We start from the raw sequence: 22781 nt of genomic DNA, 5'->3' as shown, positions 1-22781 counted from the left end.
ATAAAACTGTCTATTTGCAGTTTCACATAGAGATTTCAAATAGAATTAGTACCTATATATATTCATTAAATACTTCTCAATGTTGATAGTTATTAGTTAAGATTGTTGAGTTTATTAATATTTCATAAGAATAATAGAAGTCATAAGATATATCTCTTTTTAAATAGTTTATAATTCAGAAAGTTAAATTCTTATGGCTTTTCTCTTAAGCTAAATTGCTGAATTCTTTGTTTTGGTTACCTTTTCTTCTGAAAACTCTCTTATGACCTCTGCTGTCCATTTATTGAACATAAATCATTAAATAAAATATTCGTTGACATTTATATCTAGATGGTAAGAAATCTTCTGCCCATCTGATTATTTGAGTCAGTTTTAGGAAACAATATATGCTAAGAAATGCTTTAAAATTGTTTTCTTATAAATGTAATATATTTTCACTATTGATAACACACAAAAAATTGCAGTAACCACTCATCATATCACTGCTTAAAGATAACAACTGTTATCAAGTGGTATATATCCCTCTGGAATTGTTTCTGTAAAGTATAATTTTATGTTAAATTTATTATTATTATTACACAATTGAGATCATACTATACGTGCAATTTTGTATATATTCTTTTCACTTTATATATGGACTATTTCCCATATCAAGATATGTTTAAATTGTTGCATAATATATCAGCTATATACTAATTTATGTAATACTGTCTTATTTGGGAGCATTTAACATTTTTTTATTGAGACAGAGTTTCACTCTTGCCGCCCAGGCTGGAGTGCAGTGGTGTGATCTCGGCTCACTGCAACCTCTACCTCCTGTGTTTAAGTGATTCTCCTGTCTCAGCCTCCTGAGTAGCTGGGATTACAGGTGTCCATCACTACGCCAAGCTAATTTTTTTAATTTTTAGTAGAGATGGAGTTTCACCATGTTGGCCAGGCTGGTCCTGAACTCCTGACCTCAGGTGATCCACCTGTCTCAGCCTCCCAAAGTGCTGAAATTACAGGCATGAGCCACTGCACCTGGCCAGGGAGCATTTAAATTGATGCAATTATTTTCTCTTACAAGTAACCCTATAAAACATAATTCCTTGAGCATCCCTAATTTTATGCTTACATCCCCAAAAGCACAATTTCTGAGTCATAGAAAAAGCTTTTCATTCTTATTGCTGAATTGAACTCTAAAAATTTTGTGCTAACTTAACACTCCTACCAGAAGTATATGTTCATGACCACAGAAATAGCTTTTTTAAACTAAGATGTGAAAATATCTTAGAAACAAACTCTAAATAAGGAGAAAAAAGTTGTATATAATTTTCTACTTATGAGGTGAATAATTTCATTTTTTCTTCAAAGGTGTCAGGAAAATGGACGTTTTGGTAGAGTGATAAAAGGGCCAGACCTTCTAATTGCTTAATCTTAATGTTTCTGAATCTGTTTCCCCATCTATAGTGTGAGGAGAATAATTTCCCTCCTAATTAGTGAGGATACAGTGAGATGACGCATGTGAACATGGTTTGACAATTATAATGTCATATGGATGGAAGATACAACTTTTATTAATCATTGTTGATATGTGGACAGATTTGATACTCATTATACTGTTTTTAAGTGTCTATAACTTTAACTATTTTATACCAATCTTAATATTAATAATTTTCTCCATTTTCAACCTTGTATGATCAGCAAAGTAAATTTTCAGTCAATTCTATTTGGTTTTTGTTTGAAAAAGTAAAATAATGATTATGCAACATAGAAAATTATAGTTCAGTTGCCAATTCCATTAACTTAGTTTGTCTCAGAAACGGAAAAATTACCATAGACACAGAATTAACTATTAAGAATTAATATTTAATCTAAAAATGTCTAGTGTTTCTACAGAAAATTTGAGTACATTCTCAACTTCCTTAAACCAGTGCCTTTTTCAAATTTCTTTTCAAAGTTACACCTGTCAATTTTCATAAAAAATAGTTTGAAGATTATTCTGAATAATTATAACCAATGAAACACAAAGACAAGAAAAGAACTATTGCAGTGGGCCCTTGCTGAACCTGAGCTAGCACCTATAATGAGTGAGTCTTCACCGAAAGAAGAATAAGGAGGGAGCAAGGACTAGAAGGACAGAAAAGAGGCAATGATAACTTAAGAGAACACTGAATTTTTAAAAATTTTAAAAAGGTAGTGGCTAGCAGAGAACCTGAGACTTGTACCCATGAGAACTTTAGCCCAGTCTATCTATCACGATAGCCCCAAGAATTCTGGTCATTGTACTTGGGTAAGGGCTTCAATTTTTTAAGGCACTTGCATTTTATGAAATGTTAGTGTTTGCAGGTGTCTTGGCTAAATAATTTAGGGAATACATTTTAGGAGGAAGTAGGGGCACAGAGGGGGAGAGAGAAACCAGGCAGGAAAGAAGAAAAAAAGAAGAAAATAAATCTTTCTGTTCCCATTATTTTACTGCCCATAGAATTATAAAAGGTAAACACACACACACACACACACACACACACACACACACACACACACACACACACACCTTATAGGGTCATTTAGAACCATCTTTCTTCATTTTAAAACTAAAGAAACAGGTCTAGGTGACACAGATGAAGCAGTGGCAGAGCCAGGAAAATAATCTGACCCTTGTCCCTGCTCTTTCCACCGCACCATGGTGACTCTCTTTTTTGTGTCTTTTTTTTTTTCACTCTAAAACTGATGATCATTTGTAGTCAAAGAGATCAATGCTATTCTCAAAACAAGTTCTGATCTCTCATAATTTTCTTGGTAACTCAGAATCAATGTTAAGTACGTTGAAATAAAAATACAGTACTTTACACGGTAATTTGGTAGACTGTGCACCACGGTCCCATCCATTTTCTTACTTGATCCTCACAAAAACCCTTTGAGGCAAGGCAAGGAAGGTATTATCATCTACATTTTTAAAGTGAGCAAATTAAAACCCAAAGTAAGGTCACTTAGGGTCAGGACGGAGCAAGTACTCTATTCCTATATTTGGAATATAGGAGGGAATACACTTCCAAAGAGGCAATTCCCTCAAAAAGCACCAATCTTGCTCTTTACTCTCTTACCAAGGCATTCTCCATGCCCTGGAGATGCCCGCACTAGGTTAGTGAAGCTTGGATCTTGACATCCACATAGGTTACTCCTAGTTTGCACCTAGTTGTCAACTTAAAAAGCGCAGTTTCTTACCCCTTCCCTTGGTCCTGATCCTTATTTAGGCTCCTATTTTTCTCTTTGGGATTTGGCCTCCTGGGTCTCACTCCAAAGCTCCACCCTCTCCAAACAAGAAGTCGCGTCCTTGGTATCCAAGGTGACCATGCAGCTTTACCCTCGTTGCCCCCTTCCGTGCTTCCCATTGGCCAGTGGCCTCCCATGTACCGCCCCTCCAATAGCCAATGGTCTTGAAACAAAGGGCGCCCGCCTTTCCAGCGATTCTAACACCTGCCCTCTTACCCGTGCTCCCCTGCGCATTGCCTCCTGGGATATGTGGTTTCTAAGAGGCGGAGCTCTGCGACTTTCCACCGCTTTAGAACTACGTATCCCGTCGGCCTTAGCGAAAGGGGGTGGACTTAGGCAAGGGGTCCAGGTCAGAGTTCAGAGCTTTCAAATCCCAACTTGCCCCTGGGGATTACGCAGCTGATGTTTACATCGCCTAGTCAAGCCAACCGGCTCGCTCTTGTTTCAGCAAACCCTGACTTACGTCTCCTATTTGACTTGAGGCGGCACAGTGGCCAAGTCGATTGGCCGTGGCAAGTGACCCTCCCTGTGGCTGAAGTGTTCTGAGGACTGGCGAGAGAGGCGCGCCATGCTTGCCCCCTGTTCAGGTTGGGAGCTTGGCTGCTTCCGTCTCTGTCTCCGTCAGGTCCGACTGTGGGCTGGCGCTGGGCGCTGGTCTTGCTGGGCTTGCCAAGCCAGGCCGTACAGCTCAGGTAGGGGCGAGCGCTGGCCCGGATCGGAGACTGAGGTCCCTCCGCCTGGCCCGGCGCGCCGAACTCTGAAGGAGTGGACACTGCAGGTGAGCCCGTTCGGTCGGCTGCGGGCGCGGCTCCCGTGCCACCTGGCCGTGAGGCCCCTGGACCCCCTCACCTACCCGGATGGCGACCGCGTGCTGGTCGCGGTGTGCGGCGTGGAGGGCGGCGTGCGGGGCCTGGACGGCCTGCAGGTGAAGTACGACGAGGATCTGGAGGAGATGGCCATTGTGTCTGATACTATCCACCCCCAGGCGTCCGTGGAGGTGAACGCGCCCCTGAAGTTTGGCAAGTGAAGTGAAGTGAAAACGGGTTTGGGTCCCAGGGAACGCACAGTGAACTTAATAAATTTGGTCGACGTGCACTTTTAATTGGTCCTGGCTTTCTAAACCTAATTTACAGTTGGCCCCTTCGGAAATGCAACTTTTCCTCTGTTCTATTCTTGAGTATCCGAGTAGTATTTAAAAAATTAGGTTCCCAATTATAGAAATTTTATACATCGAATGGAAACACGATTTGGTATAATCCAGGTCAAATTCTATTTCTGGAGCCGCTTGTGTTCTTCTTTATCCCGTTGTCATTAGCAAACTGGCTTATTTTTCAAGGTTGAAGTTTCTTGACAATTCATTCAATGGTATGGCAGTCCATCTACATTTCCCCTTGCTCACAGCCTGGGGGTGTGTCCCAAAACAGCCCTGTCAATAGGATGTTCCAGGTACCACCTGGTTTGAGTATTTGGTTTTAGACGGGCGCCCAGCTTCTTACTGTTATGTTTCCATTCTTTTTGGCCTAAGTTTTCCATGAGTAGCAAGCTTTGAAGAAAAACACATGGTAAGCCTGCCTAGGAAGCTTCAATAATAATGCCTGCAAGATACCTTTCTTAGGTTTTCCTAAATGGCAAGCCACTGTGTACACACACTTTTCTAGGAAGGGCTCCCCAGACTGTCATTCTTCCTGGGACTGAAGGAAGATATTGATGATGATGATGATGGTAATAATAATAGCATTTAGCATTTTTAAGATCATCTTTTATAATGCTTACAGTTGCCCAAATAGTAGATGCCGTAGTCCTCCCTTATCCACCGTTTGGCTGTCTGAGTTTGTTACCTGCCTCAACTGTTGTAGGAAAATATTAAGATATTTTGACAGATCACAGTAATATAACTTTTATTACAGTATATTGTTATAATTGCTGTATTTATTATTATTGTTGTTCATCTCTTACTATGCCTAGTTTATAAATTAAACTTGATCATTGATATGTATACAGGAAAAAACATAGAATATATAGGATTTGGTACTATTTGTGGTTTCAGGAATCAAGTCGGGGGGGCGGGTCTTGCCTACTTTAAGAGAAATCATCAATATTTATGTTAATTCCAAATTAAATATCAGCGTTTTTAATTTTTAAAATTTGTATACAGCGATGCCTGCAGTTACATCTTAAATAGACAGCCAAGGATGGCATTTGTAATTCCTTATTTTCCAAACTTGCTTCATGTACCACTGCCATTTGTCCACAATCTTGTGGGGTTTTTTGTTTGTTTGTTTTGGTTTTTTTTGAGACTGCATCTCACTCACTCTGCCATGCAGGCTGGAGTACAGGTGCACAATCATGGCCCACTGCAGTCTTGACTTCACGGTTTTAAGCAATCTTCTCGCCTCCGCCTCCTGAGTAGCTGGGACTACAGGTGCATGCTACCATGCCTGGCTAATGTTTTTGTTTTTTTGTAGAAAGGGAGTTTTGCCACATTGTCCAGGCTGGTCTTGAACTCCTGGGCTTCAAGCAATCCTCCTTCCTCGGCCTCCCAAAGTGCTGGTATTACAGGCATGAGCCACGGCTCATGGCCTAATCTTGTAGTTTTAATAGTATATATTAGGTTTTTCAAAGTTGTTCCCATTTTTAAAAAATTACTTCAAATACCTTGTGATATAGTTGCATGGTAATATTTTCATTTTTTAAGTATGAAAGGTTAGACATAGGATTTGAAAACCTAAGTCATGATCATATATACTGGGGAAGAGGCTTCTACAGTCTTTCACAGGAGTACTTAACAGAATCGTAGTCTCCTTTACTTCCCATCTATGTTAGTTCTCTTTAGGTGATTTAGGCCAGTAGAAATAACTGCTCTGTTTCTAAAAACGGGCAGAAAGGCTATTGTATTTGGTCCCGTTGCCGTGGTAGAAGACCCCTTACCTTTACAGTATGCACTTTCCAGGATTCAGCAATATTATGGACATAACTGAGGAGTTGGGTTTCTAGGTTAAAATGCTTTGGAGCTTATAAACTGCAGTACTAACTTGCTTTTTTCTTTTTTTACTTCTAGGTTTAGATATCAAGTCATCAGGGTCTGGCTGTGTAGAAGTTCAAAGTATTGAGGGTGATAATTGCAAAATTGAAACAGAGCATGGGACTAGCATCTTGCAGTCTGTTAAGGTATAGCATTTTTCTAATTTTATTTCACTATTATTTTTTTAAAAGCCTTAAGCTATGAATCGTACTATCAAACTCAAGAGATTCTTCTGTTTTTCAGAACATTGTCATTTATTCATCTCTCAGAAAGTCCTTGGCAAACATTTTGCCTTGAAATCAGTTCTAGTAAAGTACAGAGGTTATAGCAGTTTTGAGGTTTTGCCTCAAATTTCTTTTTGATTTAATTTCAAAGTGTACAGTGAAACTAATAGTATTTTCCTAGTATTCTGAAATCTTACTAAAGAAATTTTAGTTTCCACAAATGATTTTCTTCCATTTTATTAAAGAGTAAGGAAGAATCTTTGTGCACTATAAATGTGCTTAAATATTAGATGACTTTAATCACATTTTTAATGTACCAGGTAGCTAGCTCATTACTTAAGGATTAAGTAGTTATTTGTGCAAAGTAACATATGATTCATCTTGTTTTGTAATTAAATTTTTTTTTTTTTTTGAGACGGAGTCTTACTCTGTCACCAGGCTGGAGTGCAGTGGTGCAATCTCAGCTCACTGCAACCTCTGACTCCCTGGTACAAGCAATTCTCCTGCCTCAGCCTCCCAAGTAGCTGGGATTACAGGCATGCACCACCACACTCAGTTAATGTTTGTATATTTAGTAGAGACAGGGTTTCACCATGTTGGCCAGGCTGGTCTCGATCTCCTGACCTCGTGATCCGCCTGCCTTGGCCTCCCAAAGTGCTAGGATTACAGGCATGAGCCACTGCGCCCGGCTGTAATTAATTTTTTTTTTTTTTAGTGTTTTCTTTGTAGAGACAGGGTCTCACTGTATTGCGCCAGGCTGGTCTTGAACTCATGGGCTCAAGTGATCCTCCTGCCTTGGGCTCATGAAGTGCTGGGATTACAGGTGTGAGTCACCATGACTGACCTATATTTAATTTTTTAAAGATTAGACTGGTGTTAGCTGTAAATAGTTTGAAATACCTCTCTGATAGGTGCTAGCTTATCGTTACTCTTAGTGCTTCTTGCATTTGCATAGTCAAAACTTGATACTTTTGTGAACTTTGAAAGCATGCAATTTTGTTGAAGTCAGTCATCTTTGCTTCATAATTGCAAAATATTTTCATTTTTAGATTTCTAAACACTAGTTAGAATAATTTGATGCATTTTTAATTTTTACATATTTTTTCTTTCATCCACCTTTATTTGCGTATCTGCCATCAGCATGTGTCCACATATGAATCATTTCAAATAAATTTTTGGCACAAATATCATAAAAGATTAACATTACCATCACAAGTCCTTCTAGCAAAATAAGTTGGTTCAGATTCTTGTTGTAAAAGATTGTATAATAAGGTCTTCATGTTGAATGACTAGGTGAGGATATCATAATTCTTTTTTGTCCTTAGAAATATTTTGTTCAGTCATTGATACTTAAGTTTCAGAAAACTAATCTAGACTTGTCCTCTGAAGACTCAAGAGTTTGAGATTTCCAATTTCACAATCAAAATTAGAATCTAGTATACTGCTGTCTCTGCATTTATGTTTTGATTAATCTGATAGTTCTGAAAGATCTTTCTCTGTTGATTTTCTTCTTTTATGCCATTGTAGGCATAAAATTAAAAATGGTTTCTTAGCCTTGGCAATACAAACCTTTTCAGTCAGGTGATTTGTTGTGGGGGCCTGTCTTGTGCAGTATAGGATATTTAGCACCATCTTTGCCCTCTACCTTTTAGATGCCAGTAGCATGCTCCTCAGTTGTGACAAGGGAAAATGTCTCCAGACATTGCCAAATATCTTCTAGAGACAAAATCATCTCCAGTTGAGAATGATTGCTTTATGCAAGTCCATCATTCTTCTGTTTTCTTATTTAGTTTTTTTAAAAAACATAGTTGGGAATAATTTATGAATAATGATGAAATAACTCCTAGGATGATGAATTAGCAAAAAAAAATTAAAAATAAGAACACTATTATCCCATAATGTATTTCAGGTTTATAAAAGTCCAGTGGACCAATTAATGGTAATTACAGGATAGAATGAGTTTTGTTCTATTTTTTTAAAAGTAAGTACATTTTCTATTTATTCCTTGAAAGACCTCCCAAGAAATAACAGAAATCATGAAATATCAGTTCTTACAAATAAAATAGCTCAAAACAAGAAATTCATGAAAAATTATGCCTGTGGATACTAATGGTATACCAAGGGTTAAGAGAATTATCCTTGAGATCATAGGATTTAACTAACTTCAATTCACAAATGAGAACACTTTGGTAAAATATCTGGTTTAAGTTTTAAGTATCGTACAATAATATCATTACCTTGAATTAGTGGTCACCTGTTGATATGTTTCTCTTTCATTAACTTAAGGACTTGAAATATAGTTGACCTGCATATTAAAAAAAAAATTTTTTTTTTTGAGGCGGAGTCTCACTCTGTTGCCCAGGCTGGAGTGCAATGACACGATCTTGGCTCACTGCAACCTCCGCCTCCTGGGTTCAAGTGATTCTCCCACCTCAGCCTCCCGAGTAGCTGGGATTACAGGCACCCACCATCATGCTCGGCTAATTTTGGCCAAGCATGTTGGCCAGGCTTGTCTTGAACTCCTTTCCTCACATGATCCGCCCCACCTTGGCCTCCCAAAGTTCTGGGATTACAGGCATGAGCCACCATGCTCGGCCCTACATAGCAATAATAATAACTACTGTTAATAAGTCCTTATTGTGTACCAGGAATCTTAGCTAAACCTTCATTTAATCCTTGAATTTTCTCCATTTTATACAAGGAAGAAACTAGAAGGCACCAAGAGATTGAGGAACTCACTTGCGTTCACATAGCTAAAAAAAATTGAGCTGGGATTTGACCTTGGGTCTTTCTGATTTCCAAGCTCATGCTTTTTCCACCTTTATTTATTGTCCTGACAAAACATATGGTAAGACCACATTTGTACAGCATCCTTAGGGAATAAGATAAGTGAATTTTTCAGGCAACAGACCCTTAACTAATTGAATGTCACACATTTGCATTTTTTAAATGCAGTATAATTTATTTTCTAAATAATTTCTGATTTATTTAAACATTTAACTATTTGGTTTTATGTTTTTAAAAATTCTATAATCAACTTCACATTTTTTGGGGAATTAGATGAGCTTTAAATTATAACAGTAGCTCTTACTATTTTTGAACCTTAGACCTCTTAGAAAATCTAATTGTCTCCTTAAGAAAAAAATGCATGTCTATGAAATTTTACTTATAATTTTGTAAGTTCATGTGAGCTTGGTTAAGAGTTCTTGACTTAAAACAACAAGTGTGCGCCTCCCGTCGCCCAAGATGCCGAAAGGAAAGGAGGCCAAGGGGAAGAAGTTGGCTCTGGCCCCTGCTTTTGTGAAGAAGCAGGAGGCCAAGAAAGTGGTGAATCCCCTGTTTGAGAAAAGGCCTAAGAATTTTGGCATTGGACAGGACATCCAGCCCAAAAGAGACCTCACCTGCTTTGTGAAATGGCCCCGCTATATCAGGTTGCAATGGCAGAGATCCATACTCTATAAGCAGCTGAAAGTGCCTCCTGCGATTAACCAGTTCACCCAGGCCCTGGAAGGCCAAACAGCTACTCAGCTGCTTAAGCTGGCCCACAAATACAGACCAGAGACAAAGCAAGAGAAGAAGTGGAGGCTGTTGGCCCAGGCAGAGTTGTGGGCAAAGGGGACCTCCCCATGAAGAGACTACCTGTCTTTCGAGCAGGAGTTAACACCGTCACCACCTTTGTGGATAACAAGAAAGCTCCGCTGGTGGTGACTACACACGACATGGATCCCATTGAGCTGACTGTTTTCCTGCCTGTCCTGTGTCATAAAATGGGGGCCACTTGCTGCATTATCAAGGGGAAGGCAAGACTGGGATGTCTAGTTCACAGGAAGACCTACACCACTGTCGACTTCACACAGGTTAACTCAGAAGACAAAGGAGCTTTGGCTAAGCTGGTGGAAGCTATCGGGACCAATTACAATGCCAGATACGATGAGACCCACTGTCACTGGGACGGCAATGTCCTGGGTCCCAAGTCTGTGGCTCACATTGCCAAGCTCGAAAAGGCAAAGGCTAAAGAACTTGCCACTAAACTGGGTTAAATGTACACTGTTGTGTTTTCTGTACATAAAAATAATTAAAATAATTAAAAAATAAAAAAAACAAGTGCTTTGTGGATAGTCTTTTCAAAGGTTTATCACATATTTGATAAGGAGTATATTAAATATAATTTGACTTCAGACTCACGTCTCTGGGCATAACGTAGTTAACCATGCTATAGTACAGATTTTTTTTTCTTTAAGAGACAGGGTCTTGATGTGTTGCCCACGCCGGAGTGCAGTAGCACGATCCTAGCTCACTGAATCCTCAAACATCTGGGCTCAAGTGAACCATATCTCTTTATGTAACAAAACTAAAGACATATATAATGATTAAGGGAAAACATCTGGGCTCAAGTGATCCATATCTCTTTCTGTAATAAAACTAAAGACATATATAATGATTAAGGGAAAATAAATTACTCTAAAAAAAATCAGACTAGGCCGGGTGCAGTGGCTCATGCCTGTAATCCCAGCACTTTGGAAGGCTGAGGCGGGTGGATCACGAGGTCAAGAGATCGAGACTATCCTGGCCAACACGGTGAAACCCCATCTCTACTAAAAATACAAAAAATTAGCCTGGCGTGATGGCATACGCTTGTAGTCCCAGCTACGTGGGAGGCTGAGGCAGGAGAATCGTTTGAACCCAGGAGGCGGAGCTTGCAGTGAGCCGAGATCTCACCACTGCACTTCAGCCTGGGCGACAGAGCGAGACTCTGTCTAAAAACAAAAACAAAAAACAATAGACCAAACATCTAATGGCTCATATATAATATGAGTTTATTTCTTACTTGTGTCCAGGTGTATGGGTGGGTCTTTTTCATTCAGTGATTCTAGGTTCCTTCCGTCTTCCGGCTCTGCCATCTTTTAGAGCCTTGTTATATTCTGGACCCACTTGGTGGAATGAGAAGAGCACAGAGAAGGCACACTTGTTCTAAAAGCACCAACCTGGAAATGGCATATAGCATTTCCACTTACGTTATGTTGGTAACAACTTAACAACACCTAAGAGGTAAAGGAAGCTGGAAAATGTGGTCTTGCCATGGGTCAAGCTATACTGCTTTTACTTTGGAAAAAAATGGATTTTGATGAGCCAATAGTAGTGTTTGCCATAGTTCCCAAGTCCAAAATCAAGTCACTCACACACACACACATACACATACTTTTGTTTTCTGTCTTGCAGAATAGGCTAACTGGCTTGTGACTGCTGTTTTGTGCTCGGAGGCATTTTTACTTAGTTTCTGGGATGTGTTGTGCTAGAAGGTTTAAGTGGGCTGTTAACCTAATGTGTATTCTGTCCTTCAGACCGGTCCAGCGTTAAGAGTGTGGGCTTTGGAATCATACAGAACTTGATTCTAATTGTTACTTTAGATTTTGGGTTTTTTTCTGTCACCCTGATAAAGTGATTTACCTTTCTGAATCTTGGCAGTCTTCCTCTGTAAAATGGGAAAAATGTAATACTTACCTCTCTGGTTTGTTGTGAGGATTAAATGATAGTTCATGTGAAGTAGCTAACATGGTATCTGGTGCAGAGAAAATGCCAAATAAGTGATAACTATTATTGTTATTAATGATGAATAGTAACTGATTATTATTGTCATCTTCATCACTGTGGATATTTAGTTAGCTGATCACAGTGATTTTTGATTCCCAAGTCCTTCATCAGTGAAGCTACCAGAATACCCAAGTATCTCTTGTTTTTCCCTTTGAGTCCAAGTGGCTTATTTAATCCCTTTAACAGCAGTTGACATTTTTTTCCAGTTGATGTCATTATTCGAAGCAGTGAGTTTCTGTTTCATTCCTTATTGTTCTTTTGTTGCTTTGTCAGTATTAATACAGAAATATTGAAAATGTTTCACTAGTATAAGTCACACTTACTCTCTTTTTCACTATATGTATTTTTAAATTTGTCTTTCAGGGTCAAAAATTGCATGTTCAAACAAAAGGAGGCAAAGTGATCTGTCTGGGAACAGTTTATGGAAATATAGATATTCATGCATCAGATAAAAGTGTAAGATTGAAACTTTCTTTTTTTTTAGTAATTGCAACTTTGCTTCCATTTGGCTCACTAAGTTGGTAGGTTCTACAAAGTTCGTAGCATAACATTCCCTTTTTAATGCATTTTAGTTCATAAGTAAATTCAAATTTGAAATTGAAGTGATGAAATAATATACAACTTAAGTTTTAGTTTGTGGTTTAATACTTTTGACAGTTACTTAGTTCCTAGTCTGGAATCAATAAAAACTTAAATGCTTACTATTTAACTCAAGTTCTGAAAAGATTTTTATTTTTATGATCATAGATTAAAATAGATGATTAAGTAATATCACCAGTAACTGGATTGGATTTTTCTTGTGTTAGGTTTATTTGAGTATTTTCTAAGACCTTTTTACTTCGCCCTTAGGCAAATTGAAGGATGTTTCAAAACTCAGCTTTCTTCAGTATTTTCCACAAGGTGGCACCATTAGATAGCTTTACTGCTCTCTCACAGCTTTTTTTTTTTTTTTTTTTTTAGTAGCTATTGAGATTTTCGTTGTTATAGGAAGATAGTTTGTATTTTTTAATCAACTCCTTTTGTAGCTTTTGGTTATTTAGCATAGTATTAAGAGTAAAGGTATAATTTTGGAATTATAAATTGTCATTTAAAAAATGTGATTGATAATGTATCTTTGAGAAAAAGTTTCCTTTTATTTTACACTGATACAATTTGCAAGAGCTTTTTTGTTTCTTATAAATTTGCTAAATTCCATAGTCAGCTTTATTTTCAGATAATTGGTGGGGAGGAGTTGCAAGCATATTTTGTATGTAGATTATTGTTGGCATAATTAAACAAGATAGACTATAACAGTCATTGTTTCTGTTGTTTTATCTTCCATCACCTTCCTACAAATTTGCTATACTCCATGGTCAGCTTTATTTTCAGAGAGTTGGTGGGGAGGAGTTGTGAGCATATTTTATATGTAGATTATTGTTGGCATAATTAAACAAGGTAGGTTATAACAGTAATTGTTTCTGTTGTTTTATCTTCCATCACCTTTCTCTTAGACCCCGTGGGAGGTTGTTTAAACCTAAACATTTAAAAATACTCTGTAAATTAAACTAGGAAAGTGTTGAAAGACACTGTGTGGCCTTATGCTGCAGCTTTTTTGAGATGGCATTTAGTTTTACTTTTTAGATTGCTGTGGTCTTGGAGGTGCAAGAGGGAAATTAGACAAATTTACAGCCCCTTCAAACTCAGTAAATGATGGCTAATGTTATTGAAATAAGTTACTAGAATATTGTAACATTTGCAATCAAATATAAGTATCAAAGAATTTAATATCTTAATCATTTGCTACCTTGAATATCTTGGCCACTGTTTCCTCTCAGTTATTTATTTGTTCCAATGTTTATGGTTTACTGAATATTCATGTGTTTTACTTGCTATTATACAATTTTATTTCTTGATTGAGTTTTGTTATGTACTCAAGAATCAGTCTAGGTTTTTTTTCCTATTTTTATTACATATAGTATTGATTTTTAATGTATATTTCTAAGTTTGTAGTTTTTATAAAACATAAAATAAATACTTGTGAAATCTATTAACTTTTAATACACAACTTTCATAGAAATGTGATTTGGATATTTGAGAGACAAATATAGTGAATTAGTTAAGAGCACTATATTGAGAGCCAAACTACCTGTGTTTGAATTCTGGCTCCACCATTCACTAAGCTCTATAACTGGACAAATTACTTAACCTCTGTGTGTCTCAGTTTTTTGGAAAATTGGGTAATAGTAATAGAACAAACTCAAAAAATCCTCTATTAAGAGGATTAAATGAGTTAATACAGGTAAAATACTTAAAACAACGTCTGGCACATAGCTAAGTCTAATGTAATGCTTACCACGATGATGATGATAAAGGTAAAGGAATCACAGGAAAGATAACTGGACGGGTTCTAGACCTACCAGTTAGCTTCCCAGAGACTCAGTTTCATTATTCAGCAAACAGGATGGTGATATTTGCTTTGTCCACTTAACAAGATTGTGAGAATCAAATGAGCATTATAAATAATAGCATCATTATTCTACATGACTGTTTTTAAATTGTGTTAATTTCAGTATCTAAGTTTAGTTTTATAACTTAACAGAGAACACAGAAACCCATTTCGTCTATTTGGTGAATTGATGACATAGTTGTCAGTTTTCCTCTCAGTCTGGGCTACAAAGCCACAGTACTTCCTTAAAACTTGGCTTTCATTATTTGTAAGAACTATATATATATGTATTTATATATATATTCATAATAACTAAGTGAAAAATTTTTCTTTTCATCTAGAAAAGAAAATTTATAGCAATACCTCTGTCAGGAAGATACTGATTTTTAAATCTACTTTTTGTTCTGTCATTAAATAGGTAAATTTAAATTCCTTCCATTTAGTTTGGTGGAAAGCTACTGCCTTATTAGATGTCAAGTGGAAAAGTTCTAGAAATAATAGTATATTCACTACATTAATGTACTAACAGAGAAAAATCATGATAAATCAATAGAATCAGATAAAGTATGTGCTAAAATTCAAAACCTATTCATGATTTAAATAGCAAAAGCAATAAAACAAAGTTGAAATAGAAGGGAATGTCCTTAATCTGATAAAAATTATTTTAAAAATATCTATAGCAAACATCATGCTTAATGGTGAAATGTTGTAAACTTTTCTTTTGAGAACAGGAATAAGACAAGGATGCCTGCTGTCCCATTGCTTCTGCTAGCTGCTATTCACTGTGGAATTGGGGGCCTGAGACAGATGTTAAGGCAAGAAAAAGAAAGAAAAAGCAGGAAAAAAAGTATTAATATAAGGATTGGAAGGGAGGAAATGAAGCCATCACTTGTAGACAGTATAATAACACATACATAATTTTTAAAAGTACAGATAAATTATTAGGATTAGTGAGTTTAGTGAAGTTGCTGGATTAAGATTAAATACAAAGTCAATTAGGATAAAATGAAATTTCAAAAGATACCTTGTACAATAGCACTTAAAAATATCTAAAAGGAATAAATCTAATAAAAGATTAAGAATTTTATATAGGGCATATAAAACATTAAGAGAAATTAAAGGAGACCTAAGTCAATGGGGGAATGTATTGGATCTGTTCCATATTCTGCAGAGAATGCACTATTGCTCAGAATCTCGTAATTAGAGGTAGGGAATCAGAGTCAATAAAGTGATTGTGTACTAGGTAGTAACATTTTATGTAGTTATCCACTGATTCCACAGGTAGCATTTTGGCTTTTTACCAGTCTTTGTTTTATAATGAACTGATTAGTCTTTCTCTTACTAGGCTGTGACCATAGATAAACTGCAGGGAAGTTCTGTTACTGTATCTACCGAAGATGGGTTGCTGAAAGCCAAGTATCTTTATACAGAATCATCATTTCTGTCTTCTGCTGCTGGGGATATTACATTAGGAAGTGTTCATGGTAAGCTGACAAAGGCGTAATACATCTGAGACTTTCCACGTAGCATAAATTTTAAGAGATGACTCTGTAGTTGAAAAAAGGATCAGGAAACTGGCCTTTTAAATAATGAAATGCAGACTAACCATCTTTTTAAAAAAAAAACCATAAAAATAAAATGACTCATAAAGCTAATTTTATTTTATTTGTGCAAGAGATTAAAGATTATGCTGTTATATATGGAACTAATAGTAAGTCTAATTTTTAATGCATTTCTTTTTTCTTTTTTTTTGAGACAGAGTCTTGCTCTGCTGCCTAGGCTGGAGTGCAGTGGCGTGATACTGGCTCACTGCACCCTCCACCTTTCACGTTCAGGTGATTCTCCCACCCCAACCTCCCGAGAAGCTGGGACTACAGGTGTGCGCTACCACGCTAGGCTAATTTTTGTATTTTTAGTGGAGATGGGGTTTCACCATGTTGCCCAGGCTGATCTCAAACTCCTGGGCCCAAGCGACCCACCCCCTTGGCCTCCCAAAGTGCTGGGATTACAGGTGTGAGCCACACTGCATCCAGCCTGTGTTTTCTTATAATAGGAAACAAATAGCAAGGAAATACATGCAGGAGATGAAGTAAAAGCAGTGTTAGGTAAAGATGGGTACTGAGTGATTGCTTTTATGTTAACATAAGGAAGCTGAGGGTTAAATTAATGAAACATTTGGTGGAAGGTAATTATAGCAACTCTGATACTAATTTTATTTTAAATGTTTTGTGTGCATTTGTACTAGCACCAGGTTTTCTCAGCACCCTGTTGTTTCCATTTTCTTTGATAAATATCCTCTTGTGGTTTCTAAATCCTGTCTCTGCAAGAAATATTACATAGTTAATGTTTGCATTATTGAAAGAAAATAAGAGTATAATGATGAGGTAATATGGCAAAGGGCATGCTGGTGTTCAGTGTCACTCAGCCTGCTTCTTGAATTTCCACAGAGCAGATGATTCAAATCCAGGTGTGTTTTCTGAAATATATACAGATAGAATTAATAATCACTAATCCAGTATAAAACATCTGCTAAATGCCTTTTGAGCCATATTCCAGGAAGTACAGATTCGGACTTTTTCCATATATAGTCCACTCATTTCACCTCTATAGTAAAGCTGGATATTGGTATCTGTACACTCTGGCAAAACCCTCAGATTTTAGTTGTGAGCAAGAGTTATAGAGTGGCATTAGAAAGCATGGTTAGTGCTAATCATGCTATGTAGCAATTTGGCAAGTAGTCTTCTAAAAAAAAAATTTTTAAAAAGCATACTTATATGCTTGAAATAGTTCTGGAGCCTCAATTTAATGGTTAAACCTCAAGCATTCTTGCAAGGTTAAAGTATTATTTGAGCCCAAAATAGCGTAAGTACATATGGAGCTGTATCCAGATGAAGCAAATGGTTTTGTTACTTATTCATTTATTTATTTTTTATTCAGTTGTACCTTAAGTAGATCTGGTAGTTTGTAACTCTTCATAATTTAAAAGTGACTTTTATATAAGCATTGCATTTCTAACTATCTTAATCATAATGAAAAATACTGTGCTTAATGTATTTAGTAGCTTTTAGTGGAGAAACAATTCCTTATCAAGTCAGATGTGGATTAACATCCACAGGAAAAGCAGTCTGTTCTCTGCAATGCTTTATACCATGTTTACACTAAATTCATAATGTTTCTTTTTTGCATTCTTTTAAGTTAGATAAATTGAATTTGGTACAGTTTATCATTAATTGCCTAGATGGTAGTAAAACAGGTGGTCTTTTTTGAAGCAGTCCTCAAAGTACTCTAGGTCTGTTGATTACTTAAAGTAGCTAAAATGGAAATACATTGCTGGAAAAGAAAGTTAATTCCTTAGCCTTAATAAAACCTTTTTATATTTACTGACCTTTAATATGAAATCAGATACCTTTCCTTAGCTGGTTTAAATCTAGGTCCTCTTTTGGACTATTGTTTCAGGTTGAATTTCCCTGAAAGCAGACACTCTGAAATGGAAATCTGAGCACAGCAAATTTACTAGGGAGGCCTCTTGGGACCAATGCCATGTAAAGGAAGAAAGCCAGATTTCCATGGGAGAAGTTGGACTGTGATACAGTTTCAGTAACCCACACGGAGAGCTCTGAAGCTGGGATGGTCCCTCAGAGTTGTCTCAAGTTGGGGTGAGAGGAGCTGGACGTTTATATCCCCAATCATTAGATGCAAGCTGCCCCAGGAAGGAGTATGATCTTGGGCCGAAGTGACTCCTTTTTGCTAGGTAATTCCCAAAGAGGGCTGACAGCTGAGGGCTGTCTGCCAGCAGTACTCCAATAGCTAGGAAAATAAGCCCTTCAGTTATGATGTGGGATCTGGATAAGGAATATAGCATCTACTACAGTTATATTTATTCATTCATTTGACATATTTATTGACCACCTACTGTGTGCCAGATTTCCAGGCACCAAAGGTGCAAAGTTGGGCAGGAGGTGAAACCTGTCGTTAAAGAACTCAGAGTAGAGTAGAAGGATTAAATATACTTTCTTATTTTCTCAGTTATTACCATCCCCTTTGGGATGTTACTTCCCACCTCATTTCCAGTGGTCCATTATCACCCTGCCTCAATGCAAAGAACTCTTTTAGATGTTTCTCACAGCTTCTTTTTGTAATACTAGTACAGCAATGAGAAGGAGAAGGGGAAGGGAAAATTTAATCCAGTTTCAAATTATAGTTACTTTCACAGAAGTAACTGTAGAAAAGCTTCCATGTTCAGCCTTGCTTTCTCCACCTAGTCCTTGTTCCTCACTCTGCTTTGGTTTTTCAGCATATACAAGAGAGAACTAAGACAGGAAACCCCTCTTAATTCCATGGACACACCCCAGTGCCTCGACTTTTAAAAAATCACCCTTCAGACACTTCTAAGTTTCTTGCCTTCCTCTCCCCTGTCACCTCTATTTCCATCCTTGTCCTAAGGGATTGTATGAACATGCTTTTGGAGTTTGTAGTCTGGGGTTTGGGATGGGAGGGGTACAGGAGAGCGGGCAGTGTTTAGTCTCACATCCTGGTGGGTGAGAAGATTAGAGTCATGGCTGGTGAAAGTAAGTCCCAGTTTTCTAGTTCCTGGAATTTTGGTGGGAATTATTTCTCCCAAGATCTTCCCAACCTAGAACTCTGGATATATATTTCAATGAATTCTTTGTGCTAAATGCTGATGGTTATATAACACAAATTAGGTATATATTTTGGCTATATTTAAATAAACTGGCTTGAGAATCTTAAAACTTGTTTTTATGGGAAAATACATTGCTATTTCTAAACATTTGACTTACAGAAAACAAACTGAGAATATATGCGTTCTTGGTCAGGATTTATTTACTTTAGCTTCTTTTTTCTTAAGCAAGGCTTAAACTAATTTTTTTCCAGAGAGAGCAGAAAAAAAAAAATCCAACATATAGATGTTGTAAAAACCATTTATACACAAATATAATGCAGTAACTTTCTTTTTGGTAGATTTTACAAGTAGAGTTTGGAGCCTTTGTGCCAGTAGGTGGGTGGGTGGGTGGTTGAAAGCAAACATGTATTGAATACCTAAATTGGCCAGCCCCTTTTACTTAATGAACAATTGGCTGTTCACAGATGAGGAAAACTAGACTTAGAAATGTCTAATTGTTTACTCTCAACTCCACAAGTTAATTAGTGGAATAGCAAGGATTTGATCCTAGTTTCTTGGCTTTCTAGGAGAGGTTTTTAAACAGTGAACTTGATTGCAACCGCAAATTCCATCATCACTTTGAGGGCTTCCTGACTCACTCTAAAGATGTTTCCTCCAAGAAGACAGTACTATAACACAGATGCACTGCTTCAGCTATGTTCTACATTATAAGTTCCTTGAGTTTCAGGACATTTATCGTGCTTTATGACCGAAAATGTAGATGTTCCATACAGTGTTTGGGCTTAGCTCCATGGTAGCATTCAGGAACTGGACTCCTTCCATAAAAGTGATGGTGCTGTCTTAAGTGTGTGGCTTCTAAGTCTTCCATGAAAGGAAACAAGAGCATGAAATTTATTTTTTGTCTGCATTTTCAATTTTTTTATATACCCTGATGGCAAAGCAACATCTAACATACTAGTGCCGAGTACTTAGAGCATGCCCATTAATGAGGAAAAGAGTAATGAAAGGAGCAATATATCTTTCCTGGCCTTGCAAGTTGATTCCTATGTATAGAGAAGAAAATAATTTATCCTAAGTGTTTTTTCAAGTGAACATTTTAAGTATAGCTAACTATATCTTATATGTAAGAAACTGAGTAAGCTAATTGACTAGTCATATTTCCTATTTGTATAGTTGGTTGAATCACATCTGTTAAGTGTGTATGCCTTCTACTACAAAAGAAACCAGTTTATTCATTGACTTATTAAATATTCACTTTCTGACGATGGGAATCTAGTGGGAGAATAGGTACTTGAATAGGTTGTGTTTAGATGTAAAATTTTATGAGTTTACTATCTTGATTTCCTTCTAAATAATCAAAAATTAAATTTGGTTTTATATGAATAATATTTTATTAAATTCTGATATTTGAATATTGATACTTTTTAAAGAATGCTGTGCATGTATAATACATGCATATATTTATATGTATTCTACAAAATACAGTTTTAAATATAAATATGGTTTTTCTGACTCTATTGGAGACAATGAAAAACTTCCTTGAAATGGTTTGCTAGGATTGGTTTTATTTGTAACCCATGATTTAAACAAACTGATTCGATTAAGATGTAAGAGTGTTCATGTTGTTTTTGTGTATTTTAAAAATTTATGTTATGATCCAGAACAGTGACTAATGAATAAAACTCTATTTTAAATATTTAGATTTCCTATGTAAATTAGGCTCTATTTTAAGTTCTTTGGAAACATATCTTGATAGATAAATTGCTGAGTATTAGTTCTCTCATTTTCTCTGCACTTCAAAAGTCCTTTGTTCTTCAAATATTTGGCATACATGCATAAACTTTTCCTTTAGTAACTACTTTTTTATTTTTGAAATTTTCAAGAAGTACAATTTACATGAACTGTACAAAACACAGGTGATAACTTTGATAGCACTCAAAATTTCAGAAGAAATGTCCCAATCTGCTTTAAGAAGGACTTGTAGTCACCGATAAATTTATAAATCTGGTTTGTAAACTTAGAAAGTCACAAATAATATACAATTTTAAAACACAGAATCTTTTATTGGATTAAATAGATCTTTTCATGACATTCATGAAAATGTTTTATTGAAATTCTAGTATTTATTCCTAGCCTAGGTCATTATGAAGTTTTAATTTGATTATCATTTTGATGCTTAATTTCGAATCTGGACACATATAACTTTGTTTTGTTTGTTTTGTTTTGTTTTGTTTTTGAGAGAAGTCTCACTCTTGTCCCCCAGGCTTGAGTGCGATGGCTTGATCTCGGCTCACTACAACCTCCACCACCCAGGTTCAAACAATTCTCCTGCCTCTGCCTCCCAAGTAGCTGGGATTAAGGCGCCTGCTACCACGCCCGGCTAATTTTTATATTTTTTAGTACAGACAGGGTTTCACCATGTTGGCCAGGTTGGTCTCAAACTCCTGACCTCAGGTGATCCGCACGGCTCAGCCTCCCAAAGTGCTGGAATTACAGGCATAAGCCACCGCACCTGGCCACAACTTTTTTATATGAAATACTAGAAAGGAATTACAGCTTTTTTTTTTTTTGTGGTGCAAACCATGTAGGTTTTTCAGGGTTTAGACCTCTGACACAAAATATTGATATTTACTACAGTGTCTGTCCTAAGTGCAGCTCCTTAGAGACATTCAGAGACTTGGCTTCCTCAGTTTGTGGCTTCCAAGTCTTCCATGAAAAATGAGACAGCACAGAGGATCATGGAAGAAGTTTCAGAAACCAGGCCTAGAAGTGCATATATTACTTCTGCCCATAGATCTTTGGACAAAATATTTTCAAATGGCTTTACCTAACTGCAAAGGCTGAGATATGTAGTTTAGCAGTACTTTTATGGAAGAAGAGAGGCACACCAATATTAATGGACACTGGCAGTCTCTATCATATATTTATAATTGCTCTTTCACAAATGTCTCTATATTCCTTCTCTTTCCACCTCTGTGATAATTGGTATTCTCCAGGATTTCATCCTTGTCCTATTGTTCTTTCTCTACATATTTTCCTAGGGCATCTTATATACTTTTGAGTCTGAACTACCCTTACAAGGGTGTTTCAAATCTGATTATTCAAATCTATGTCTCTAGCCCTGACTAATTTATACATCCCATCTGGCAGGTAGACATAGCCATTTGGATCTTCACAGACATCTTGAACTCAACATTTCTTGCTTTTTTCCCTTCTTCCCCAGTCCCTGAACGTCATCTGTAATGTGTCCTCTTTCCTTGTTTTTATTTGCTGTTTCTGATATTGCCATGTTCCCAATTCCCATGCTATAAATCTGGCAGTGGTCTTAACTTCCTGTTTCTCTCTCATCTCCTGCATCTAATCAACTACCAAGTTTAGGCAGGTTTTATCTCCTAAATATTTTTTCAATCTATCTCACCTTTTTCCTGCTAATTTCTACACCTCTGTTTTAGACCCTCTTGACCTCTTGCCTTGATACTAGCAATAACTTTGCCTCCAGCCTTGCCTTCTTCAGATCCATTTCTCCTCACTGCAGCTAAAGCAGTTTATTAGTAATGCACATTGAACATGTCATTCTCTTATTCGGACCGTTTTCTACTGCCTTAGTGACGTGCCCAACTTCCC

General features: G+C 36.9%; 1 protein-coding gene and 2 pseudogenes across 4 annotated transcripts in view, besides 3 other annotated features; 2 read left to right on the top strand and 1 right to left on the bottom strand.

Annotated features, from left to right (window-relative positions):
- The window catches only part of CCDC146 (coiled-coil domain containing 146), a 172590-nt gene extending 169268 nt beyond the window's left edge, over positions 1 to 3322 (bottom strand). For all 3 annotated transcript variants that reach the window (XM_047420662.1, NM_020879.3, XM_047420664.1), the window contains exon 1: positions 3205 to 3322. The gene's annotated coding sequence lies outside the window, so the exon portion shown is untranslated. The remainder of the gene's footprint in view (positions 1 to 3204) is intronic.
- Positions 3532 to 4031: an enhancer, noted in NCBI's record as "H3K27ac hESC enhancer chr7:76751223-76751722 (GRCh37/hg19 assembly coordinates)". NCBI's record gives its function as "activates a minimal SCP1, AML or CMV promoter by ChIP-STARR-seq in naive H9 embryonic stem cells {active_cell/tissue: H9 hESC(naive)}" and the evidence as "EXISTENCE:reporter gene assay evidence [ECO:0000049][PMID:30033119]".
- Positions 3537 to 3636: a silencer, noted in NCBI's record as "silent region_18317". NCBI's record gives its function as "represses an Ori minimal core promoter by ATAC-STARR-seq in GM12878 lymphoblastoid cells {active_cell/tissue: GM12878}" and the evidence as "EXISTENCE:reporter gene assay evidence [ECO:0000049][PMID:35858748]".
- FAM185BP (family with sequence similarity 185 member B, pseudogene) overlaps positions 3648 to 22781 on the top strand; it is a 40635-nt pseudogene continuing 21501 nt past the window's right edge. Inside the window, exons 1-4 of the transcript NR_146190.1 lie at positions 3648 to 4271; positions 6311 to 6420; positions 12454 to 12546; positions 15861 to 15999. The product of NR_146190.1 is annotated as a family with sequence similarity 185 member B, pseudogene (transcript). The remainder of the gene's footprint in view (positions 4272 to 6310; positions 6421 to 12453; positions 12547 to 15860; positions 16000 to 22781) is intronic.
- Positions 4032 to 4533: an enhancer, noted in NCBI's record as "H3K27ac hESC enhancer chr7:76750721-76751222 (GRCh37/hg19 assembly coordinates)". NCBI's record gives its function as "activates a minimal SCP1, AML or CMV promoter by ChIP-STARR-seq in naive H9 embryonic stem cells {active_cell/tissue: H9 hESC(naive)}" and the evidence as "EXISTENCE:reporter gene assay evidence [ECO:0000049][PMID:30033119]".
- RPL7AP43 (ribosomal protein L7a pseudogene 43) lies at positions 9729 to 10588 on the top strand (annotated as a pseudogene).

Source organism: Homo sapiens, chromosome 7 (assembly GCF_000001405.40).
Source record: "Homo sapiens chromosome 7, GRCh38.p14 Primary Assembly".
In the NCBI taxonomy this organism is placed as follows: domain Eukaryota; kingdom Metazoa; phylum Chordata; class Mammalia; order Primates; family Hominidae; genus Homo; species Homo sapiens.
This window is presented reverse-complemented; position numbering and strand designations above follow the sequence as displayed.